This window comes from Homo sapiens, chromosome 10 (genome assembly GCF_000001405.40).
Source record: "Homo sapiens chromosome 10, GRCh38.p14 Primary Assembly".
Lineage (NCBI taxonomy): Eukaryota > Metazoa > Chordata > Mammalia > Primates > Hominidae > Homo > Homo sapiens.
The window spans coordinates 111,386,177-111,413,876 of record NC_000010.11 but is presented as its reverse complement, the minus strand read 5'-3'; the positions used below and the strand labels follow the sequence as shown (position 1 = coordinate 111,413,876).

At 38.9% G+C, this 27,700-nt stretch overlaps 1 long non-coding RNA gene across 1 annotated transcript; it reads right to left on the bottom strand.

Annotated features, from left to right (window-relative positions):
- Positions 1–3,269: 3,269 nt before the first annotated feature.
- Positions 3,270–13,599, bottom strand: LOC105378484 (uncharacterized). The gene is made up of 3 exons (XR_946319.2): positions 13,510–13,599; positions 8,725–8,796; positions 3,270–3,370 (listed from the first exon to the last, which is right to left on the bottom strand). It is a non-coding gene; the product is annotated as an uncharacterized LOC105378484 (long non-coding RNA).
- Positions 13,600–27,700: the final 14,101 nt, after the last annotated feature.

Below are 27,700 nucleotides of genomic sequence, written 5' to 3'. Positions count from 1 at the left end.
GTCCTCATTTTAGGAATGAAGGAATCAAAACTTAGAAGAATTGTATAATTTCCCAAGATCAATCCATTATTTTGGCATATTAGAGAATGAAACACTGTTACCATTTTTGACCTTGATAGGTTTATAGGCTAACAAAGAAGAAAATGGCTATGTGTGGCATCTTAGCTAAGGAGACATGGCTTTAAAACTCCACATCTGTTTCATAAATCCCAAATATTCAGGGACTGAGTTAATGAAATATACTTTTTATCTACTTTTAAAATTATAAGTTCTTAACTACAGATATTGGGCTAGATATGAATTCACTTAAAAAACTGAAGAATGGAATCCGTACTGCCTGTTGTGTCCTTCTCCTCCCAGAAGCTCTAATTCTTAAATTTCTTTTTCTGTTTTAGTGCTTCCTCATCTAAGAGTCAATTTTCTTCGCTATTCTGAAGCTTCAATCTGACTGTGATATGAAACATATTTCCTCTAGAGAATACCAGGAAGCTCCCATAAGTAGCCAGAAAACAGCTGTGTCTGGACAGAGGTGACAGAAACCAGTGGCTTGTGTCTCTCAAAGAGAGAGATAGGCACATTACCCAGTGGGACCCCATTTATAGAATGGAAGAGCTTATCTTGGCTTAATTAATGTGTGAACTCAACTACAATGTTGATTGTGGTTATAGTTTCACAGAGGTATATGTATGTAAACATTTATTCAGTTCTACACTTTAAATATGCATGGTTTACTGGATATCCATAAAACTGTTTTCAAATATTTAGAGGCTCAATCAATATTAATACGTGCCTCCTACCACGCTGGAATGAAATTTGCACACTCCTTTGAGAGTTTACTCATTTGCAGGGAATTTGGAAATAAGAAAATAGTGTTGCAGATAACATTGAACAGAATATAAAATTTCCTATGACGTGTCAGAGGGCACATTGGACTCCATTAGTATCTCTAGTCATCAATATGTATACAGATTATACTTTTCTTATGGGGTCAGCACTTTTGGATAAACCATTGACAGCTTTATCTTGGATAAGCCTGAATGCTCAGATAGATGGAAAAGGATCCAATTATTCCATACACAAACAAAAATAAGAGAATATCAGAATCTTTCATCTTCCAAACCAGGTTTCTTTCAGAGAATGATGTTACAAACCAGCAAGGGGGAAATGTGAGAATGAACCTTACTTGATTAGTTAGACATCAGTATCAACTCACATGTAGCTTGGTAGAAACAGACATAGGGATACAGATAGACACAGAAACAAGTATAGATATTATGTATACATACGTTAGAATACATGCATGAGTCTTCTTAGCTCTGTTCTTGTGAAGGCCTAGAAGAAATGGCATCCCAATAGCCATAAGCATACTCGTGCCCAGGTCTTGGTTTCTAATATCATTCTCCAATAAAAGAAACCAGGGTTCCTTGGAGAAAAGACTGATTCTACAACTAGGGAAGACAAAATACAGTATGATCTTGGAACATGGTATAATACCAGAAGGCAAGGAAGTGCCCCCAAAAAACAAAAGGATGGGGTGCTGTCAAAAGGACACAGGCATCAACCTGAAAGAGATTCTAATGGCTAACGCTGGAACAATTTGAGCAACAAAATAACTAGCATAGCATTGGATCATAACTCAAAGTATAAAATAAATACACATACTAATATGTGTATGTATATTACATATTTTTGTAACAGAGGAAGACATATATCTTCTTTACAAAATTGACAATAATATAGGTAGATATTCCTGTATTCAGAAAATAAAGTTTAATTCCCTTCCAACCTTGAATATGGACTGGACTTAGTGACACTTCTATAAAACAGGATATGGAAATAGGAAAATAGTAAGTTGGCAGACACCAACTTAACTAAGTAAGCATATTTACTACCCTCAGTGGTTAAGTCGTGTTGTTAGCGTGTATCCCCTGATAGGTTGTGACAAGAAGGCACTTCATCTCTGTGATATTCTTCTCCAAATTCATAATCCCAGTTTATATATAAGGAAAACATCCAAGAAACCCAAATTGAGGGGCATCCTATAAAATATCTGACATTACTCTTCAAAAATGACAAAGTCAGTCATAAAATAACAAGGGGAGACTGGGAACCTGATACAGTCCAGAGATTATGAAAATATACAACATAAAGACAATGTGGTGTACTGGATGGGGTCCTGAAACAAACAAAAAATAGTGGAAAAATAACTGAAATCTAAATAGTCTGGAGCTTCCCTAATAGTAATGTAACAATATTTATCTCTTAGTTTTGACAAGTGAACTACAGTCATATAAAAGTTTACCTTAGGAAAATCTGGGTGATGGGTATACGGGAACTCTCTGTGTTCTCTTTACAACTTTTTTTTGTAAACCTAACATTATTTCAAAATGAAAACTTTTTTTAAAAAACGCTCTTTTAAAATTGGCTACATTAAAATCTTCACAAGAATGATAAAAGGCTGTCATCATGAAAATGCTCAATTGGGCAAGTGAATACTGACATTTGATTCTGGCTCATGGCATTGGGAGTGTTATTCTGAGTAGTAAGTGGTGATACTGTTGTTCTTGTTTACCTAGCCCCAGGAGCAACAAAATCTGCATCTGCCCTTGAAATGGTCCTGGCTACCTCTTTTATCACTCTTTAGCAAAGAAAGAAGACCATGGTTGGAAATAGCCATAGACTGCATGTGTCAGGATTTCTCATGACAACTGGGCAGCCCCAGAGCCTGGCCTGCCTGGTGGCCCACAGCAGAGGGTTCTGGTAGCCGAAGGGGTGGTGGGTTGGGAGGTGAACTGGCTGCTCCATAGCTTAGTGAATCTTCTGTTTAAGTAATTTCAGCAGCCCTGCCAGCTCAATATTTTAATAAACAAGTCTTACATGTACTCAAATGTATGTCATCCCTCTCAAGAGGGAGAATCACATGCTTATCCAGTTTGTCAGCTACCGGTTTGGCCATCTCACTGTGTCTCAAAAACACTTCGAATAGACACATTGCTCATCCTGAGTGATGCTAGATGGGTGTGTCAGCAGCCAGACCATTTTTGCAGCTCTCACTTGGTCAGATCCTCTCTATTTTATTTTTTAATGTTTTAAGAGAAGAGCTTACTTTCAAAGGATGTGAGATGCCCAATCAACTTCAAGTTATGCTCTCTGGAAATGTCATTAATCCTGTGCCAGCTCCAAGGATTAATTTGTGACAAGCTTTACAGAGTTCCCAGCACTCACCCTCGTCATTTATCACTGTACATACCAGCTGATTTCCTCCACGACTCCTTTAAACATCTTTTCTCATCACAGCGACCCACTCTTCATGTGAAAGATCTCAGCGATTCAGGAAACATTATTTGATGAGATGAACTCCGTTTAAGTTCTGCAGACAGCAAAGAGGCCCTCAGAGAGTGAATTCCCATTTTGAGAGCCTACAGCTGAGGAGGAATCAGGAACTAAGTTTCTCAGCAGGGCAAGGTTTTAAAAAGGCCCTCAGAGCAAGTGCAGCTGCCCTACCCCCCCTTACACTCCTGCCTGCCCGGACAGCTGAGTGTGGCTCTCCTGACGTAACCCTCTTCTGTCATCCACTTGCCCATTGATAGCAGCCCCCAGCACTTTGTCACACATTCACCAGTCTTTTAGTGACCCTTGGCCCAGGCTGATCAGGTATCCCCATATTCTATGCTCACCCACCAGGCTAGCCTCTGAATCAAGAGCTACCACATAAAACAGATAAGAAAAGTAAAGGGGAAATCTCGATCCTCAGCTTGGGTTCGCTGATCTTTTGTTGTGAGAAGTATATATAGGGTGATGCTCGTTCTTAGCATCTGTGGAGGCTGTTTTCATGGTAGGCAAGAGAAATTCTCTTTATTTACCATGACACTGTGTGGCTTCAGATTTATTTAGTGTAAAACAGCTTTTATCTCAGCTGGCATTGACCCGATTTAAAAGAAGCTCATGTCCTTGGCAGACAAGACTGTTGTCTCTCAAGACTAGGGGATTGATTGGAGGGCAAGGAGGGGTAACAAGGCCAGCCATAGCATAGGAGGAAGTAGGAAGAGAGTAGCCTTGCCCTCCAGGGGCAAGACTCCTCCTCAAGGCAGGGCAGGTGAAGAGAACCTGCCCAGGCTGTTATAAAATTTCTTTGATCAGGCTTATATAAAATGTTTCTTGTCCCCTGGATGGATGTCAACTGACAGTGACATCACATCTATGCAGGGGACAAGAAACATTTTATTAAAATATATCAGTCTGGGCAGAGTCACCATAAAAGGTAGTGAATCGGCCGGGTGCAGTGGTTCACACCTGTAATCTCAGCACTTTGGGAGGCTGAGGCTGGCAGATCATGAGATTAAGAGATGGAGACCATCCTGGCTAACATGGTGAAACCCCGTCTCTACTAAAAATACAAAAGTTAAGTAGGCGTGGTGGCATGCACCTGTAGTCCCAGTTACTTGGGAGGCTGAGGCAGGAGAATCGCTTGAACCAGGGAGGTGGAGGTTGCAGTGAGCCAAGTTTTCACCACTGCACTCCAGCCTGGTGACAGAGTGAGACTCCATCTCAAACAAAACAAAACAAAACAAAACAAAACAAAACAAAAGGTAGTGAATCTAAGACAAAATTTTGGGGTATCAGTTAGTGAGTGGGGGGCAGAGGTGGGATATCTAGGTTCAGCTGCACCTAGGCATCCAGGCATAAAGTTGGCATCTGCAGGGTACAGTAGACAGACTCTGGGCAGTACACACAGCTGTTAAGAGCACTTGCCCCAGAGACAGGCTGTGGAGCATCATCAATTCTAACGATTCTGCTTTGGTTGATATATGCCATTCCATTTTCTATTTTTTTTAAGTGACTATGCTTCATGGATATCAGTTTTTCAGCTTGAGAGCTCATGTCCCCTCAATAACAACTACTGTGTCCAATAATGTGTAGAAGGGAAGGGCTGAAATTCAGGCCTAGTCTACAAAGTAAAGGAGAAGGAAGATAGAGAGCCTCAACCACTGGAGACTCATGTGGGCCCTTTCCGTTTGCTGCCTCTATATTAATCAATTCCTCTGATCATAGATTCATTTTTCAACTCAGAGACAAGCAGTATGTGTCTTCTTCAACTTTAACACCCTTGCCTAGGGTGCCAAGGGAGGAGGAAGTTAAGGAGAGACAGCCTAAGATTAAACAGTCAGCTCACAAATTTCCTTCATCTTCTCACCCCAGAGGATTTTTGTATTGCCTTGTTAGTTTCCCACTATAATCAATAGTGACTGTTGATGCCATCAACAGGTGGCTGTCCAAGATATGAGCAGGTGTCCCACAATTTTTTTGTATTAGAAAATAAATCCCCAAATTTATATGTGGATGGAATTTGGATGTAGTACTTTTGGGGAGGTAATTGGGATTGGATAAGGTGATCAAGGTGGAGTCTCCACGACAGAACTAGTGGCTTTATCAGAAAAGGAAGAGAGATCTGAGCTACCACACTCTTACTCTATGTGATGCCCTCCACCATGTTATGATGCAGCAAGAAGGTCAGTGCCATGCTCTTGGACTTCCCAGACTCCAGAACTATGACCTAAATAAATCTCTATTCTTTATAAACTGCCTAGGCTATGGTCTTCTGTTATAGCAACAGAAAATGGACTAAAACAGTTGGCTATGGCTGCCCCATATATGGGTAGTGTATACAGCACAGATATGCTGGACAAAGGGAGATGTCATGTCTCAGGCATGAGATTTCCTCACGCTACTCAGAACAACATATATTTTAAAATTTATGAGTTGTTCATTTCTGGAGTTTACATTTAATATATTTGGACTGCAGTTGACTGTGGAGAGCTAAAACCATGAAAAGTGAAACCTCAGATGGAAGGGACTACTGTAAACTTTACTGTATAAAAATTATATTTCATATAGAATGATGGCGTATTTTAATATTTTTTATATTTTATGGAGTAAGGCTTCCAAAAACAAGAGTTCCTTTGGTATTTAAATTTGTTTTAAACTTCGCTTTTCAGGATAAGGCATCTTTAGAGTTAAGAAAAGGGAGCTACCCCCGTAAAACAACACTTTGGACACTAGGCATTTGTATCAGGTAAGGCAAGCTAACTACTGTAACAAGCAACTACCTAATTTCAGTGACTTAACACAATAACACTTTATTTTCTCATTTATACAATAGTCCATCATGAATATTCCTTGTTCGGGAGTTCTCCTGAGTAACTTTCTTTTGTGTGACAGATTAGGGATGCGGACTCCCTCTAACTGTGGCTCCACCTCCTCTGGATCTTTGGAGTTTCTCTTTTCAGAGGAAAGAGAGTGTGGAATGGCATCAGATGCACTTAGAAGTCTCATGGATCAACACTCAATTTCATGGTGCCTCTTACCTGAGATGGAGTGATGGAACTCTAGTGGTGTATACAGAAGGAACAGAATAGCCTGTGGTGGACACAAAGCAATCTCTGCCTTAGTGTTCATAGTATGCATGCATGCATGCATTGATTGATTGATTGATTGATTGATTGGAGAAGGAGTCTCACTCTGTCACCCAGGCTGGAGTGCAATGATGCGATCTCAGCTCACTGCAGCCTCTGCCTCCTAGGTTTAAGCGATTCTCCTGCCTCAGCTTCCCGAATAGCTTGGACTACAGGCATGCACCACCACAACCAGTTAATTTTGTATTTTTAGTAGCAGCAGGGTTTCACCATGTTGGCCAGGCTGGTCTTAGACTCCTGACCTCAAGTGATCTGCCCACCTCGGCCTCCCAAAGTGCTGGGTTTATAGGCATGAACCACTGTGCCTGGCCCATAGCATTTATAAATGTGGTTTATTTTATGCCATCACATTTGTTCTAACCTCATGAGAAGGTGTGAACTTCCTCTTTGATAAGAGGCTTTGATGTTTAAGAAGAAAACAACTGTATTTGTTTTATTTTGAGAAGGGTATCTTTGCTGCATGTTCGTGTTTTCTCTTTCCAGGTTGTTATAGTTGGCTTCTAGTGCTCTAGTTGACTTCTGAGTGCAGAGCCACCTTTAGCCACTGCAGTGACTTAAGGTTACCCATAGCCTTCTGTCTCTCATGCTCTCAACTCAAGGCTGATTTTAGAGGTGGCAAAGACGTATCCCCAAGAACGCTAAGGATCAGGCAAATCAACTCTATTCACACTATACCCAAAGACAGGCTTTGGGAAATGGTCCTAGAGGCCCACTGTATGCAACTATTAAATATTAAAGCAGTATTTATCAGGTCCAGTCCAGGTCCCAATGAAGTCATGACCTTGGGCACAATAATTAATTTCTTTGCCCTTTGGTTATCTTCTTTGTAAAACAAATAGGGTAGTATCTATCTCATAGTATGAATGGGAAGATTCACCAAGATAATGCAAATAAAATGCTTAGCACACTATTAGGTGCATAGTAAATGCACAATTGCCCAGTTAATTTCCCTTACAAATCTGGTCTATTTTGTATTAGTGAGCTTCCTTACTTGCGAGAATTGGAAACTGAGTTTGGATGATTTAAGTAGAAATAAATCCCTTGAAAAACTATGGGATAAATGAAATAAGCCAGGTACAGAAAGACAAATACCTTATTATCTCACTTATATGTGGAATCTAAAAAAGTTGAACTCATAGGGACAGAGAGTAAAATGGTAGCTCTGGGCTGAGGGGAGAGGTGAGACTTGGAAGATGCTGGTCAAAGAACACACAATTTTAGTTTGGAGGAATAAGCTCCAGAGATCTATTGTACAATATGGTGACTATATAATTACTAATAATAACAATGTATTATATATTTAAAAATTGCTAAGAGAGGAGATTTAAGTTTTCTCACCGCAAATAAAAAGTATGTGAGGTAATTGATACATTGGTTAGGTTGAATTCACCATTTCACAATGTACACACATATAAAAGCGTCATGCTGTACAGCACAAATGTATACAATTTTAATTTGCCACTTAAAAAATTAAAAACTGCAAGGCAAGTGAATTTGTATTGGAAACTTCCTCCTATTCAGCATTGTGAGGAGGGTAAGCTTTTATTTCATCATTAAAAGGTATCATTAAAGAGTAAAAAAGAAAGAAGGAAAGAATATGAGTACCTCACAGAATTTCCAGAACAAGTGATAATGAATCGGGCATATATTAACAATGCCCCAAATCACACATCAGAATGATTTTTGTGATGGCAGTCATCACCACTGCCAGGCTGTCACCAAAGCTTGTACAGCCAACAGCAGTGATAGGATGCTGGATGTTGATCCCAGAACTGGAATCCATCCTACATCTAGAAACCAGGAGCAGTGGCTGCCACTGTCACTACCTGTCAACAAATTGGATTCTGGGCAATACCAACTACATCACACCACTAGCCCCGAATTCAACATTGAGGCCATCTTTATCTAGGTCACATGTCCATGCCCTCCATGCGAAGGAGTCTGGAAAAGCAAGTACAGTCAGCTCTCCATAGGAGTGGGTTACACACATTTGTGCATTCAAACAACCACAGATCAGAAATATTTGAAAAAAAAAAAAAAAAGAATGGTTGCTTCTATATTGAACATGTACAGAATTTTTTTCTGGTCATTATTTTCTAAACAATACAGTATAACAACTATTTTACATAGCATTTACATTATGTTAGCTATTATAAGTAAATCTAGAGATGATGTAAAGTACATGGGAGGATGGGTTATGCAAATGTTTCACCATTTTATATCAGGGATGCACACAGTGAGTGTAACCTACCTGACAGGCGAGGAGTTATTCTCCCACTCTGGAGGTCCTTCTTTCTCTTTTTGTCTTTTGTGGTTTGCCTTTCTTCATTGTCCAAATAATGCATATTCATTGGAAAAAAATAAAACAATACAAGTAAAAAATATATAAAGGAAAACATAAAGCTATACAAACAGCATAGTCAAAACCCCAATAGATACATGAAAAATGGAATAATAAAGTATTTAAATAATCCAAAAAGAAGGCAAAAAGGGGAAACAGAGGAACAAATAACAGAAAGGATAAACAGAAAACAAACTTTAAATGGTAGACTTAAATGCAAACATAATGGTTATTAAATGAAATGACCTAAACACACAGATTAAAAGACCGATTTTTTAATCTCTTTTTTATTTTTAAAAATAGATTTTAGGGGACACACACACAGGTTTGTGGCATGGGTATACTGCCTAGTGGTGAAGTCCGGGCTTCTAGTGCAGCCATCATCTGAATAGTCTACACTGTACCTGTAAGTAATTTCTCATTCTTCACCCCTCTCTCACCCTTCCAAGTCTCCAATGCAAAAGACAAATTGTTGAACTCTAGCTCTAATTCTGTGCTGTCTCCATAAACCCACTTTTAATATAAAGACATATGTTACATATAAAAAGGTGGTAAAAGCAAGCAATAAGTATTCAAGAGCTGATGTAGTTGTATTAGTACCTGACAAAGCAGACTTCAAAGCAGGAAAAAATTACTGGAGGTAAAGAGAGAAATTACAAAAGGATAAACGAGTCAATTAATCAAGAAGACATAACAATCTTAAATATGTATGCACCTAAAAACAAAATTTCAAAATATGTAGACCAAAAACTGACAAATGAAAGGAAAAATGGACAAACCCACAAATATAGTTGGAGACTTCAACGTTCCTCTCACACTAAACAATAGAACAAGTAGAAAATCAGCAGCCAGGCATGGTGGCTCATGCCTGTAATCCCAGCACTTTGGGGGGCCAAGGCGGGTGGATCACAAGGTCAGGAGATCGAGACTATCCTGGCCAACATGGTGAAACCCGTCTCTACTAAAAAAAATAATGATAATACAAAAAATTAGCCAGGCATGGTGGTGCACGCCTGTAGTCCCAGCTACTCAGGGGCTGAGGCAGGAGAATCACTTGAACCCGGCAGGCAGAGATTGCAGTGAGCCGAGATCCCCCCACTGCACTCCAGACTGGCGACAAAGGGAGAGAGAGAGGGAGAGAGAGAGGAAGAGAAAGAGGGGGTGGGGGGAGAGAGGGGGAGTGGGGGAGAGAAGGGCAGTGGGGGAGAGAGGGGGAAGGGGGGAGAGAGGGGGAAGTGGGGAGAGAGGGAGAGAGAGAAAGAATCAGCAAGAACATAGAAAAACTTAACACTACCAATCAACTGGACATAATTAATATTTATTCTATAATATGTTCACCAACAGCAGAATGCATATTCTTTTCAAGTGCACATCAAATGTTCACCAAGATAGATCACATACTGGGTCATAAAACAAACCTTAACATACTTAAAACAATTGAAATCTTACAAAGTACATTTTCTGATCATAATGGAATTAAATTAGAAATCAGTAACAAAAAAGTTCTGGAGGCTGGGCGTGGTGGCTCACGCCTGTAATCCCAGCACTTTGGGAGGCAGAGGCAGGTGGATCATGAGGCCAGGAGTTCAGGACCAGCCTGGCCAAGATAGTGAAACCCTGTCTCTACTAAAAATATGAAAAATTAGCCAGGTGTAGTCATGGGCGCCTGTAATTCCAGCTACTTGGGAGGCTGAGGCAGAGAACTGCTTGAACCTGGGAGGCTGAGGTTGCAATGAGTCAAGGTTGCACCACTGCACTCCAGCCTGGGCAACAAGAGGGAGACTCCATCAAAAAAAAAAAAAAAAAAAAAAGTTTCTGTAAAATCCAAAATATCCAAATTAAACAACACACTACTTAACATCTATTGTTCAAAGAGAAAGTATCAAGTGAAATGTAACATAGTCTGAACTGAATGAAAATAAAAATACAGTGTATCAAAATTTGTGGTAAGTAAAACAGTGTTTGTAAAATAGTCTACAGTATTAAATGTTCATAATGGAAAAGAAGAAAGATCTTAAGTTACTAAAAGCTTCTACCTTAAGAAAGAAGAATAAAATAGGAAAGCAAATAGAAGGAAAAATAATACAGATAAGAGTAGAAATCAATGAACTAGAAAACAGAAAAGTAAAATAAAATCAAAAGCTGCTTTTTAAAAAAATCAATAAAAGTTAATAAACCTCTGGGCACATTGACAAATAAAACAGTGAAGACACAAATTATCAGTGTTGGGTATGAAAGTGTGTTATCAGTACAGACATCACAGACATTAGAAGAAAACAAGAAAATATTAAAACAACTCTGTGCACATACATTTGAAAACTTACATGAAATGGACCATTTCTTAAAGCCAGAAACTACGAAAATTCACTCAAGGAACAAAAAAGATAATCCGAATAGTTTATAGTTATTTGATAAATTGAATTCATAGTTAAAACAATTAAAAAACAAAACACCAGACTCATATGGTACCAGTGGTAAATTATACCAGACATGCAAGGAAGCATGAATATTTTTCTACACAATATCTTAACAAGAAATAAAAGAGTAAGGATTACTTCCTAACTCATTTTATGAGGCCACACTACCCTGATACCAAAGCTACACAAATATAGTACAAAAAAGAAAGTTAGAGACCAATATAACTCATGAACACATATGCGAGAGTCTCCAACAAAACATGAACAATTTATTTATTATTTTTTAATTTTTTATTTTAATGTTTGTAATGCTACATAGTAAGTGTGTATATTTATAGGTTTATGAGATATTTTGATACAGGGATTCAATGCATAATAATCACATCGGGGTAAGCGGGGTATCTATCACCTCAAGCATTGCTGTATATTAAAAAATGTATTATGACTACAAATACTGGGTTTATCTCAAAAATGCAAGTCTCACTTAAAATTTGCAAATCAAATTATGTAATTCACCATATTAACAGACTAACAAAGCAAAACCACATGATCATTCTTGGGTGACCACTAGACAAATAAAACATATTAAAAAAAAATTCAACATTCGCTCATCATAAAAACTCTCAGCAAATTTAGAAGAAAACTTCCTTGCTCTCATAAAAAGCATCTGTGAAAACTTCCAGCTGACATCATACCTAATGGTGAAAGACTGAATGTTTTTCCTCCTATGACTGGTAGCAAGGCAAGGATGCCCACTCTCACCACACCTATTCAACAGCATATTGGAAGTCCTAGCCATTGTTATAAGTTAAGAAAAAGGAAAGACATACAGATTCAGAAAGAATAAATTAACGTGTTCCTATGTACAAATTATGTTATCTTCTGTCTGTGTACAGAAATCCCAAGAAAACTACCTAAAAGCTCCTGAAACTAATAAATGAGCCCAGCAATGAAGCCAAGAAAGATCAATTTTTTAAAAGCGAGTATATTTCTGTTTATTAGCAACCAACAATTGGAAACTTGATTTAAGATTTCAATAAAATAATTTAACAAAAATTTTATGAAATTTCAATAGTTCCAAAAATGAAATACTTAAGCATAAATCTAACAAAATTTATGCAAAGTCTATGTTCTGAAAACTATAAAATTGTAACAAAAGAAATCAAAGACCTGAGTAAATACACGTACATATCAAATTTATGAATTGGAATATCTAAAATAATTAAGAAGTCAATACTTCCTAAACATATGTATAAATGTGTACAATTCCAGTTAGAATCCAAACAGAATTTTGTGTAGATACAGACAAGCTGACTCATTATTTATATGTAAAGGAAAAGGAATTAAAATGGATACAAACAATCTTGAGGAAGAATAAAATTTGGAGGACTAACACTATCTGATTTAAATACTTACTATAAAGCCACAGCAATCAAGACAGTGTGATCCTCAGTAAAAGAATAGACACATACATCAAATGGGATGGAATAGACAGTCACCCACACAGATGTGGTGAAGTGATTTTGACAAAGAAGCAAAGACAATTCAGTGAAGAAAGGATGGCCTTTTAACATACAGTGTCAGAACAACTGAACATCTATATGCCAAAAGTGAATCTTGAATTATAATTTACATCTTACACAAAAAGAAAATCAATATGGATCATAGGTCTTAATTTAAAATTAGAAAACCTTTAGAAGAAAACAGAAGAAAATGTTCATGACTTTGAGTTAGGCAGAAAGTTTGTTACATACAGCACCAAAAACACAATCTATAAAAGATAAAATTGATGTCAGACTTCATCAGAATTGAAAATTTCTGCTCTTTGAAAGACACTGCTAGGAAAAATAAAGAGACAAGCCACATACAGTAAGAAAATATTTTCAAATCACATCTTAGGCAAAAAGATTTACATGCACAATGTATAAAGAACTCTTATAACTCAACAATAAGAAAACATACAACCCAGATTTTAAAAGGAGTAGAGGATTTGACTAATAGACACTTCACTGAAGGAGACATACTGATGGTAAATCAGCAATGAAGAGATGTTCAACATCATTACCCATTAGGAAAATGCAAATTAAAACCTCATTAAAATCACCTTTGAAGAGGTTAATTTTTTTAAAACTAAAAAACAAAAGCAAAATATGGACAATACCAAGTGCTGGAGATGATATTGAACAACTGGAACTCTCATACATTGCTCTACCAAAAATTGCACAGCCACTCTTAAATGCCATTTGGCAGTGGCTTATTAAGTAAAGTATACACTTACCATATGAACTAGGAATCCTGTTCCTATTTGTCTTCCACAGAGAAATGAAAACTTATGTTCACATAAAAACCTGTGCATGAATGTTTACAGCAGTGATATTCACAATTGCCCAAACCTGGAAAGAACCAAAATGTCCTTCAGTGGGTGAACAGATAAACAAACTCTGGTACATCCATACAATTAATATTATGCAGCAATGAAAACAAACAATATAAATACAATGACAAGGATGAATATTCAAGGCACTCTGCTGAGTGAACAAAGCCAGTCTCAAAAGGTGACATGCTTTATAACTCTACTTATACGATATTTTGGAGAAAGCAAAACTATAAAGACAGAGAACGCGAAGTGGTTACAAGGGGTCAGGGTTGGAGGAGGGGTATGTCCACAAATGGGCAGCAGGAGGGAATTGTAGGGATGATAGAATTGTTCTGTATCTTGACTGTGGTGGTAGTTAGATGCATGTATACATGGGTTAACATTCATAAAATATACACCAAGTTAAGTTAACTTTACAGTAGGTTAATAAGAAAAATTTAATAAGAAAAAAGTAAATAAAAATCAATCAGAGAAAACTAGAGGTGATATGGTGGCTTTTCAAATATTTTTATGCACAAACACTCACAACCTCAAATGCATACAAGATTTTCTTTCTCTCTTATACATTTTAACTGAACAACAATATTACATCTTGACATTTCTACATAAGCATTCTCTTCTCTCAGAACTGTGAAGTACATTGGACCAGAAAATCTTTAAAGATCTTTTTTGGAACACACACTACATTCAACTTGAGTTAGGTGAATACATTGAATCCAGACACAGAACCAAAAACTCCACTGGGCAGGAGCAGTGCGGAGCATTTGTGCATTATTGCATTGCTATAAAGAAATATCTGAGACTGGGTAATTTATAAAGAAAAAATTGTTTAATTGGCACACAGTTCTGCAGGCTGTACAGGAAGCATGGCAGCATCTGCTTCTGGGGAGGCCTCAGGAAGTTTCCAATCATGGGGGAAGGCAAATGGGAAACGAGGCATCTCACGTGGCAAGAGCAGTACCAAAAGAGAGAGAGAATGGGGAGGTGGCACACACTTTTAAAGGACCAGATCTCAGGAGAACTCACTTGCAATCACAAAGGAATCACAGTACCAAGGGAACGGTGCTAAACCACTCTTGAGAAATTCACCCCCATGATCCAATCACTTCCCACCAGGCCCCACCACCACCATTAGGGATTACAATTCGACATGAGATTTGGTTTGGACACAGATCAAGCAATGAGAGATCTTCTTCAGTAATGGATCATGAGCCTCTTAGAGAGATGTGGTGAACAACCGGGGGAACACCAGCATCATTTCCTCACTTATTACTTCCCTTCGGAGTCCCAATTTTGTCTAGGCTAGTGTTCAAAACTCTTTCAAAATTCTGCTAGAGGGCCTGTAGGCAAAAAGACTTCATAAATTTAACTTGACCTTTAAAATTTGTCATTATGTGTTTAAGTAGTAACAATGCCTTTTCCAGCATGTTGCAAATATTGAAATTTTCTAGTAAAACCACGAGATCCCTTTTAAAAATCAATTTGATGATTTAATACCATAGTGATTTAGGCCCCATCACCGTCTATTTTAAAAATGCATGAACAATCTCTTTTTTTTAATAGAAATGTTATCATTGATTTACCTTCTTAAACTCATATTTCGATTCTACTTCCCTCTAGAACTTAATCCTAATATATTGGCATACAGATCTTTTTTTAATGCTCATAACATTGGCATTTTCCTGCAACGTAGACTAATAAATGTCTCCGAGTCTCCTAGGTTTTGATTTCACACCATCATTATTAGTGTACAGTAAAAACAAAATAAAATGCTTGCTGCTTATCTTTTCATCATTCATGATGATGCCTACCAATATGTAACCTTTGCAGGGGCATGAGCTATTTCCCATTTTAGAGTCAGAAGCAGGACTTGTCAATCAGTGTGGGTGACCAACCTGAAGGATTGGGCTCACATTTCCCTTTGGTCTTAGGACTCTGCTTCCTGTCATCTGGTCTGGTAACCAGGCCTCCTGCCTCCTACATGCCTCGAGATAGAATGGACATACAAATATTCCGGCCTGTCTTGCAGCAGAGGCCACAGGAAGGCAGACCACACACATGTCAACACAGAGGGTCAGATCCAGTCACATGGCGCTAGTCTTGCCTATGTCCCACTGAGAGAGGCTAGCACTTCCTTCCCCAAACCCTCTGATATCCTGTTTCACTCTACAAAGGGAAGGACAGTCCAAAGGGCAGGAGGGTCTGACCTTTGGAGGGTTTCTCTGAATTCCTCACATTGGCTGGTTTGCTCTTGAAATGCCCTCCTGTTATTTCCTGATAAGAATTACAAAATGGTGGTATTAGACCCTGCTCTGCCAATGACCAAGAAGAGCATGACGTGAGGCGGGTGCATTCTCTTACCTGAACCTCTGTCTCCTCAATTGCAAATGAGTGGTAGACCAGGCAGCTCCTAACTCCCTGCTAGCTCTGAAAATATGCAGGATTTTATGTTCTCATCATTTATCTCTTCTCAGCTAAAGATTCCTTAGAAACAATATCTAGCTTAATTTTCTTGTAACGCCCAAAGAACGTACTGCCATACTAAGCCCACCTTATTTCCTTCTTCCCACCCTCCCTCACCCTTAGGCTCTTCCTTTTCTTCCCTCTCACTCACTTTACTCTTTTTCTTTCCACCCCTCCTACTTTTCCTTTCCCCTCCCCTTCCTCCTCTCACCTTCCCTTCATTTCTCTCTTCCTTCCATTAATTTATGAATTCGTTAATTGGGATGGATCTAGACCATTGTGGGGCTTGCAACTTCCAAGCCTGAATTAAATAACACTTTCTCAACGTTTAAATTTCAAGAAAGTAAAATTGAGTTATCAATTGTCTCAAATCTGCTCTTGTATTTGTAGAAGGAAAAGAAGTCAGAAAACGCCTAGTAACAGGCTTTAAATAAATGTGAACGATGATTATCATCAAAAACTAATTATCAGTTCCAAACTCAAAGAAGATGTCACACATATCCTAAAGCAGCTGTATTGAAGCATCTCATCAGCAATAATAACACAATTTCTGAGTGATGAGTTGGAGACAGGATAAACAGAGGTATCTCTTACAACATGGAAATGCACAAGGGTTTTCTGGTAATAAAGAACATGAATCAAAATATTTAAGGAAGAAATAATAAGAATTGAATACGACCTCTAAAAAAAAAAAAAAGAATTCTTTCCAACTAGTTTTTGTGGTCAGAGAAACCCTGATAACAGAATTTGACAAAGACATTACAAGCAAGGAAAATTATAGGAAATTATAGGAAATTATCTCTCATAAACACAGGCATAAACATTCTAAACAAAACATAAGCAGATTGACTACAGCAATATTTAAAAGTATAATACATCATGATATAGTGAGTTCATCACGGACATGTAAGGGTACATTAGTATTTGAAAATGAATCAACATAAATCACCACCTTAACAGAATAAAGGAGCCAAACACTACTGTCCTAACAGAGGCAGAAAAAGCCTTTGATAAAATTCACCACCTGTTCCTGATTAAGGAAAAAAGCTTTCAGCAAATAAGAATAGAAAGAAAAGTATTTCATCTATTAAAGAATAGCTATAAAAAATCTGTAGCCAATAAAAGACACTTATTGGTAGAATATAGAAGAATCTCCCCCTGAGGTTAGAAACAAAGAAAAGGGTATGCACATGACCACATCTTTTGACACTGTACAGGTTTTTAGCAACACTGTAAAACAAGAAAAATAGAAGTATAAAGATTAGTTAGAAGACATATTGCTACATTCATGTACGATATGACTGTGCACATCAAAAATTCCAAAAGTTATACAAGCTATTATTGTTAAATAGATTTATCAAGGCTGCAAGACTCAAGGTCAGTAGCAAAAATCAATCGTGTCTATACATTGGCTTCAAGTAATTGGAAAATAAAATTTTGAAGTATCATTTACAACAGTATTTAAAAACATCAAATAGGTAGGAATAAATCCAGTTGTAGAGGTGAAAGCTCTAGAATGAAAACTGAAAAACAGTGTTGTTAGAAATTTTAAAAGACATAAATGAGAAAATATTTCACATTGATTTAAATTCTCAATATGAATTGGATGGTGTCAATTCTGTCTGTATTGGTCTTTAGATGTAATGCAATTCCGAAAAAAGGCCCATCAGAGAGGGTATGCATGTGTGCATGCATGTGTGTGTGTGTGTAATTGAGGAGCTTATTCTAAAATGTTTGTGTTGAAATGCAAAGGATATGGAAAATCAGTGTTGAAGAACAACAAAGTTGGAGTTAGAGGATTTTCATTATCAAATATGGAAATTCCTATAAAGCTTTAGTGATTAAGACAGTGTCAGATTGGTGCCAGGATACAACAGAATAGAAAGCGCAGTCCCAGATCCATGTAAATACATGTGTTCACCTGACTTAATACAAAGGCACCACTGCAGACATACATGCTATGATTCCATTTATAAAAATTGCAAGAACAGGAAAAATTAATCTTTGATGATAGAAGTCAGAATAGCGCTTATTTCTTGGAGTGGCAAGAATTGACTGGATGGGAGGACACAAGCAAACGATATGCCTGCTGGAATCATTCTGTATCTTTCCAGGATTATGTTGACATGGGTCTAAAAACTCATAAGCTGTATGCCTAAGATTTGTTACTTACTGTGCATGTGTTATACTACAACTAATAAAAACGTTTAAAGAATGTAAGCGGCCGGGCACGGTGGCTCACGCCTATAATCCCAGCACTTCAGGAGGCCGAGGCGGGCGGATCACGAGGTCAGGAGATCGAGACCATCCTGGCTAACACGGTGAAACCCCATCTCTACTGAAAATACAAAAAATTAGCCGGGCGTGGTGGCGTGCGCCTGTAGTCCCAGCTACTCCGGAGGCTGAGGCAGGAGAATGCCGTGAACCCGGGAGGCGGAGCTTGCAGTGAGCCGAGATTGTGCTACTGCACTCCAGCCTGGGCAACAGAGCAAGACTCCATCTCAAAAAAAAAGAATGTAAGCCATTTTTGACATTTTATTGCTGACCATCCCTCCCTCTTCTCCTTCTGCTCCATGTCTAGGCAAGATGATAAGAAAGCTTGGGTGCTCCCTCCTGTGGTGCTGATGAGAGCTTCAAATCACACAAGCCCCTGCACAAGCGTGGGGATCAGTATCCCAGCTCCACCCACGCTCTACCAGAAGAAACCAAACCTGAGCCAGTCCCCATTCCTGGTTCTTTCATGTCATTTTTGGACCTGCTTGGGTGCCTCCCCACTGTTCCCAGAAAGTCTCTTTATGTGAATAACAAATTTTTCATACCTTCCTGCTGTGTGTATGTTATCATTAGTCTCTATATCCAAATCCAAATTTGACTGGGAGTCCATCAGCCATCTGCAAATGGCCACAACAGAGGGAAAAGCTTTTGCCTTTGATTTCTCTATTTTGTTTTCTGCTGGATACTTGGCACTTAAGTGGTGTCTAGGACATAGTAGGTACTCAATAAATATGTATTGAATAGATGCAGGGTCAGAAAATAAAGAATTTGGATTGGCAGAAAGATAGATGGGAGGATGTAGGTGGAAATCTCAATGTGCATTTTTAAACCAAAACAAAACAAAAAAGACCCTGTATTAGTCCGTTCTCACATTGCTATAAAGAAACACCTAAGACTGGGTAGTTTATAAAGAAAAGAGGTTTCATCAGCCATGGTTCCGCAGGCTGTACAGGAAGCATGATGTTGGTATCTGCTCGGCCTCTGGGGAGGCCTCAGGAGACTTACAGTCATGGCTGAAGGCAAAGGGGGAGCAGCACTTCACATGGCCCACAGCAAGAGGAACGGGAGTCGGTGGATGGTGGTGCTACACACTTTTAAACGACCAGATCTCGTGAGAACTCTATCATGAGACCACCACCAAAGGGATGGTGCTAAACCATTCATGAAGGATCTACCCCCATGATCCAATCACCAGGCCCCACCTCCAACACTGGGGATTACAATTGAACATGAGATTTGGGTGGGGAGACGGATCCAAACCATATCAGACCCCCAAATCAAGCATGTGCCGTAAGAGGTGTTCACTACAGTGAACTATATCCAAGATGAAATAAATCTACTTAGAGCTATAAATAAAGAAACTATGTGATAAATAAATAAAAATTACACAAGTTCTGGGGTAAAGACATCAGGAACTTTACTGTGAACAGCAGGCAAACACATCTCTGTGGAACTATTCTACTCTCCAGCAAGTGCACTGTGGCTCTTGCTTGGGGGGGAAATAAAAGCCCAAATCCCTGCTGCTCTGTGGCCATTCTCATTATCCGATCTGTAGGATGTTATATTCGGGGTAACCTTAGTGTTGCTTCATAAAGGAAGGCTGGAACTCAAGGGAAAGGAGCTTGAGCAGGAGTAAGACAACAAAGGCTCAGTCAGTGGGCAAGCACATCTTTGGGAATAAATCTGTCAAAACTGGGAGCTCCTCTGGGCTCCCCCACTGCAGCACCAGCAGCCTAGAGTCAAAGCTTTACTGTAGAAGACTCTTCCCTAGTGGGCTCCAGAACTCAGCAACACAGCTTTCCCTAAGTTCCTCTGCATTTCTTCACCTAAGAAGGGAGCCTCCAGTGTAAATCCTTTGCCCTGAAAGATGTCAGCTTTTCCTATATAACAGAAGGCATCTCTGTTATTTCAAATGATGCCTGATCGGCAGGTGCTGAGCATTGGAGAATGTGCAGAGCTGCTGGGGTCTGGCCGGCTGTGAGCAGGGTTGGCAGTGGGGAGCAGAAGGGAGGAAGTCCAAGTCTCATCAACTGGCTTTGTGTCTGGGTCATTGTTTTTCTACAATGAAGTCTGCCCTATGTGATGGAAATGCTCAAACTCAGTGAGAAGTGTTCTCAGAATGTCCCCTCAATGAGGTCCATGAAAACAGCTCACAAATAGCTTTTGAACAGTAATTTGTGTATTTATACACACTCTTTTTACCAGGCAAGAAATTAGGGGAAGAACTTTTAGAGCCACAAGTAGGAGAGATTCTGCTTTTTGTCTCACTATCTTGGACCCCATGTCAAACTGAGAAAAGGGCTAGAAAAAACTACATCAGCACAACGAAGGATTCTACAGGCAGAAGGCCATCCAGGCTCCTAAAGTGCAAGTCATCCTTTCCCTGTTTTTAAATTTTGACTGTTTTATGATTCAGGGTGAAAATTTGCAGATGCTACCCTAGAATGTAAAAAAGATGCAGAATGTGGAGGAGGGAGTTTTACAAATTACCACAAGCTACACCAAAAGTTTGCTTTCCAAAAATAAAACAAAAAGCATTTCTTAGGATTTTGTCAATTAATAGCCACTAATAAAATCTCAGAGTGTTGTAAGAGCTATTCTTAAAATGGAATTTCTGGCATGCAAGGTTATTAGCAATGCTGGAGCACTTTGGAACGATTTGCAATTATCTGAGCTAATGTTTTCTTCATTAACTCTTAATTGGCTCACCAGAAAACAAGAGTTGAATATTCATAGCTAGCAATTACTAAGATCTTTGAGATATCTCAGTCGCTCTGTTAAGTGTTTTAGATACCTTACCTTAGCTAAACTTCACAACCATTCTACGAGGTAGAAACAGAGGAGTGGAGAAGTTAAATGACCCAGCTAATAAGATACGAAGCTGGGATGTGAACACAGGATCCACCCTCTTTACCACTACCTCGTTTTGCCCCTGGTGAAATAATACATGTTAGATTTCAGTCATAAACATGGAAAAATTCAACCCATAAATTACCTGAATATAATCATTGTATTCTGTATCTCATTTCAGCATCTCAGAGAACCTTGCTTGATCCCATTACACATGCCTTGCACTCGTAGGTCAACATTGTGGTTGGCCTGTGGACAGAAGTGAAGTTGTTCTAAAGCCTCTGGTGCTCAGTGTGAAAACATGCCCTGGCCAATTAACAATGTACATTAAGGATGCTGGTTGAGAAGGAGGTAGTACACTTGCCAAGAATGTGCCATCCCTGATCTAATCCACTCCCACTGTTTCACAAGCAGTAGAACTGAAGCCCAAAGAGGGAAAATAAGTTGCTTAAAGCCACACGAGTAGGAAGTAGCCAAGTCCAGTCATTGGTCAGGTTTCCTTGATTCTAAATTCACCATTCTTTAAATAAAGTCTTCTGCTAATAAGTCAACATCCTAAGCTCCTCACCAAGCCCAGCTTGGCAGTGTTGTTGTGAACAATCAATGTGTTCATGCTCACAAAACATCTTTGAAATTCATAAAGCCTTATTTTCTATAAGGGGAATTTAAAGATCAGCACAAACACCAAGCCATTTCTTACCTACAAGCTTTACTTTTGGAAAAGTTCATGTTCAAGAGCATTATAAACTGTAGTCAGAACATTTCTTCCAATAAAACTACCCAGGTCTTCATCCCACAAAGATATTTGCTAATTATTCTTACTAGGGTGCCTCTTTATGTTCATGTGAATACTTAAGTTTCTACTTAGCAATGGCTGTCTGGTAACCAAAAGTAGTTAATGCATCTTCCCAAGGTGCTTAAAATTACCCCCAGGGAATAGTTTTTAACACTAGGAAAATCACCCTTACTCCATCTACTGTTTAGCAATTTGAGGAAGGAAATCCATCAACTCTTCAGGGTATCCTGTTCATTTTTTGTAATTTACCATTTGGGGTAGAGGCTAGCACTTGAATGCACCAAAAATGAGCCTAATTTTGTTATGTGACCCATCTCTCACTCCATCATCTATTACAAGTTAAATTTTGCAAAAAAAGAAAAAAAAACCATTATCTTAATGCAAGCATCACTAAGAAGCCAACAAGAAGCACAAAGAGAAGATAGAGATGGAGGCACCTTTGGATGGGAGTTGGGTGTGGAGCTTCACCCCACCAGCAATAAACAGAAATTCTGACACCAAAATTAGTCATTTGGAAAGGCATCCATGGAATATTCAATGAACTAAAAACGTTCACAGATGTTGGAGAAATTGCTCACAAAGAACTTTGTCCACAAAATTGGCTTGAATTTGTTATAAATATTAAAAGGCTTTTGTCTGGTTTCTTTCACTAGCTGCTCAGGTCAACAGTGGCAACAAAAGCCTTATGTATTTTTAAGACAGACTTTGATGCTCCAGAGAGTTTTGTGCATGACACAAGTCTTGGATACAGTAGGCATTTGCTAATTGCTCATTTAACATAAATTGACATCGACTCAGCTAAGCACAGAACTAAGTGGTTGCCCACCCTATCTTACTTATCAGCGGTGTCTACTCTGTGAATGGTTATGAGGATTCCCTTCATTTTGCAGAGAGCAGAGTGAGGTCACTCACGCTAGATCACACAGCTGGTAACTGGTGAAATCAGGACTCTCAACCAGCCCTCTCTGGTCCACAGCATCATAGACACCACATTGTATTTTATGAGTTTGATAAAATCAGACATTCCAGTTATCGAATATTTGGGGAAGATTGCATGTAAATCATGTTCAATGAGATATAAAGGCCCAATGTAACATGGCCAGTACACAAGTTGTTTTAGCTTTGACCTTTGAAACCATGTTTATAAAGGATTATGCTGTTCTTGAAATGTCACTCTGATCAGTTATTTATGTGTCACATGAGGGCTTGTGCCTTTCATGTCACTCTGCCCTTTTGCATTGGGTGCTATTCAGTTTACAAAGAGGAAAATAGATCAGCGGGGAGAGGGGAGGATAAAATAGAAGATAAGATTGAATATAAATGTTTGGTAAATAGGATCACTACAATATCCTCATTCTGCAACCACCCAACCATGCCCTGCTATATATACAGAGAAGAAGGCTCTAAATCAGCTTTCCCTGGCCAGCTCCTTCATCATCAAAATGAAGACAAGAAGAAGAAATACTAAGGGAATCTTCCTTTTGCAAGTTGGTTCCCTGGGCAACATTTCCTCATCTCCTACCCTTTGATCTATCTGCAAATCCTTAGTGCAATCTACTTCCTGCAGCAGAACTCACCTCCATTCTATTGTGGGCACATAATCTCCATAAAAAATAATAATAGAGATAAGAAGTTTTCTTGGTGCTTCTTGAAGCTTTTGTGTCCCTCATCAGAGAAAAGCATAGGTTCTGCCAAGATAGGCGATCAAAAGGGCAATAACCTGGCCTAGGAAAGTTGTATCGTTGGAGTGAGAGAAGAGTTTCCTGTGTGTACTGTGCTCCCCTAGGTTCCAGCATTTACTCACCTTCTGCTGTGACCATATGATCTGGTGAGATGGGGCTTGGAAGAAGGCAGCACAGCATGGTGATTGGAGTGGCCAGCCACTGCTCAGATCCTCTAATCCCAACTGAGGCAGTGCATGTTTCTCTATGTCATCAGAGATCTGTGGACCAATTCAATATAAAGATAGTTTTCCTAGTTGGAGACCTTCAAAGAAAAGCCATCTATTTTCCAATCATGCTCATATTGGATCAATCAGTGAATATGTTCACAAGGGATTGAAAAGGGTGCTGTCAATTCCCCAGCTGGCAATTCACAACAAAATGTTTATATTATTCCAAATAATAGAGGCCTAGAGTGTTTGGTCCAGTACTGAAACCAGGAATCAAGAACCTCACAATAAACTCAATACCAGAGGCACCTGACCCAAAATGTTTTAAGAGGAGTCCATTAGGACTAACATTGCCACGTTCTCCAAATACTGCTGAGTGGCGTAAATCCTGAGGAGTAGATTGACAATTCTTTGCCAGGGACAGTGGAAGAGATGGGGTTTTGTCTCCAGAGGACTTTGACATGGTCTCTGTCCAGCATTAGAAACAAAACACAGGACAAAACAAAAAAAACATATATTATACGCTTATGTCTCCAACCCTCTAATTCCCACCACCAGCATAAGTTCATAAATAGCATTATTTGGTCAAGCAAAAGCATATTAGAGCAGAAAATTCATGCATTACTTCTGAAGTTTCTTAGACTTCTGTTACCAAACTGGGTGCTGCTGGCTAAGACAAGCTTCAACAATGTGTCTGGATATTGATAGAGTTTGAAGGTGATAATGAATATTTATCCAAACAGGTGATGTTGAGTCTCACACCTGCAACATGTTTTAAAATATTACCCAAGCTTCAAAGACTCTCATAAATACTCATTCTTGAGTCAAGTGTTATCAATCTTAAGGTGGCCTGCCAAATCCAAGACCAACATTAAGGTGGACTGCCTATTCATCTCCACCACCACCTTGGGGAACCACTTCTCTTGGCCTCTCTCCAACCTTTCCATAATCAGGTCTAATCAAGACACAAGGCTGTCATGCTATCTCACCAGAATGGAGGGAAATTAGCACATATAATTCAGAACTTTTTCCAAGTTCTTTTTGTTTTCTTTTATTGAATAATAGCTACATGGATATGATGAAAAGGTCCAGAAGCTTCTTGCCTCAGAGATTACTCCTTGTCTTTCTGCCTTGCTCCTTGCTCCACTAATACATTTTCAAGCAAGATTTCCACCTTTCAACTCTTAGCTGGAAATCAGAAGCCAAATGTTGTTGGGGGATATCAAACACTGGGGGCTGGCGAAACCCTTCATACATCCAGTCAATTTGTTTTGTGTTGGGAGGACATTTAATCAATACCCATCTGATTCACTTACATATGTATCATCCAAAAGCCATTCTGAAAGAACCATTTCACTCCCAGGAAGCCTTTATACATCAGTTTCTAGAAATACATAAGCATATTATAAGTCTTCTTGTACCAAGAAAATGACCATTCAAATTCCCCCCATATCAAAAGCTTTGGGAAATGCAAAATTTGGGACTGCTCTAAACATACAGCATCACAAAGATTCTTCTATTACTCCTAAGTGCATAAATAATGACCCATCTTTTTAGTTTTATGTAGAACCAAGGGCAGCTATTAGAAGAAAAAAAAATGAGGGAAGTGACTAGTTTCTAACCTAAGAGCTTCCCAAATCCCCTAAATATAAAACTATATGTTGGCTCACATCCCTAAGAAGGAACCAGTTCAGATTTTAAATAGACAGAAATAATCTCATTTTATTCCCCAAGGTAAATTTATTTTCAAAACTCTATCATTTTGGCACGATATTTTGGCCTCACATTAATGTATGAATACATTTCTGTCACGAGAAACCTACTTAAACGCCATGTTTAAAACAAGAAATATGATTGCCTAGGTTTTCTTCTAGGGTTTTTATGGTTTTAGGTCTGACATTTAAGTCTTTAATTCATCTTGAATTAATTTTTGTATAAGGTGTAAGGAAGGGATCCAGTTTCAGCTTTCTACATATGGCTAGCCAGTTTTGCCAGCATCATTTATTAAATAGGGAATCCTTTCCCCACTTCTTGTTTTTGTCAGGTTTGTCAAAGATCAGATGGTTGTAGATGTGTGATGTTATTTCTGAGGCCTCTGTTGTGTTCCATTGGTCTGTCTCTCTGTTTTGGTACCAGTACCATGCTGTTTTGGTTACTGTACCATTGTAGTATAGTTTGAAGTCAGGAAGCGTGATGCCTCCAGCTTTGCTCTTTTTGCTTAGGATTGTCTTGGCAATGAGGGCTCTTTTTGGTTCCATATGAATTTTAAAGTAGTTTTTTCCAATTCTGTGAAGAAAGTCATTTGTAGCTTGATGGGGATGGCATTGAATCTATAAACTACCTCAGGCAGTATGGCCATTTTCATGATATTGATTCTTCCTACCCATGAGCATGGAATGTTCTTCCATTTGTTTGTGTCCTCTTTTATTTCATTGAGCAGTGGTTTGTAGTTCTTCTTGAAGAGGTCCTTCACATCCCTTGTAAGCTGGATTCCTAGGTATTTTATTCTCTTTGTAGCAATTGTGAATGGAAGTCCACTCATGATTTGGCTCTCTGTTTGTCTGTTATTGGTGTATAGGAATGCTTGTGATTTTTGCACACTGATTTTGTATCCTGAGACTTTGCTGCAGTTGCTTATCAGCTTAAGGAGATTTTGGGCTGAGACTATGGGGTTTTCTAAATATACAATCATGTCATCTGCAAACAGGGACAATTTGACTTCCTCTTTTCCTAATTGAATACCCGTTATTTCTTTCTCTTTCCTGATTGCCCTGGCCATACCATTCAGGACATAGGCATGGGCAAGGAATTCATGACTAAAACACCAAAAGCAATGGCAACAAAAGCCAAAATTGACAAATGAGATCTAACTAAACTAAAGAGCTTCTGCACAGCAAAAGAAACTACCATCAGAGTGAACAGGCAACCTACAGAATGGAAGAACATTTTTGCAATCTATCCATCTGACAAAGGGCTAATATCCAGAATCTACAAAGAACTTAAACAAATTTACAAGAAAAAAACAACCCCAACAAAAAGTGGGCAAAGGATACGAACAGACACTTCTCAAAAGAAGACATTTACGCAGTCAACAGACACATGAAAAAAAGCTCATCATCACTGGTCATCAGAGCAATGCAAATCAAAACCACAATGAGATACCATCTCACACCAGTTAGAATGGCGATCATTAAAAAGTCAGGAAACAACAGATGCTGGAGAGGATGTGGAGAAATAGGAATGCTTTTATACTGTTGGTGGGAGCGTAAATTTGTTCAACTGTTGTGGAAGACAGTGTGGCGATTCCTCAAGGATCCAGAACTAGAAATACCATTTGTCCCAGCAATCCCATTACTGGGTATATACCCAAAGGATTATATATCATGCTGCTATGAAGGCACATGCACACGTATGTTTATCGGGGCACTATTCACAATAGCAAAGACTTGGAACCAACCCAAATGTCCATCAGTGATAGACTGGATTAAGAAAATGTGGCACATACACACCATGGAATACCATGCAGCCGTAAAAAGGCTGAATTCATGTCCTTTGCAGGGACATGGATGAAGATGGAAACCATCATTCTCAGCAAACTATCCCAAGGACAGAAAACCATACACTGCATGTTTTCACTGACAGGTTGGAATTGAACAATGAGAACACTCGGACACAGGGTAGGAAACATCAAACACCAGGGCCTATTGGGGGCTGGGGGGCTAGGGGAGGGATAGCATTAGGAGAGATACCTAATGTAAATGATGAGTTGATGGGTGCAGCAAACCAACATGACACATGTATACCTATGTAACAAACCT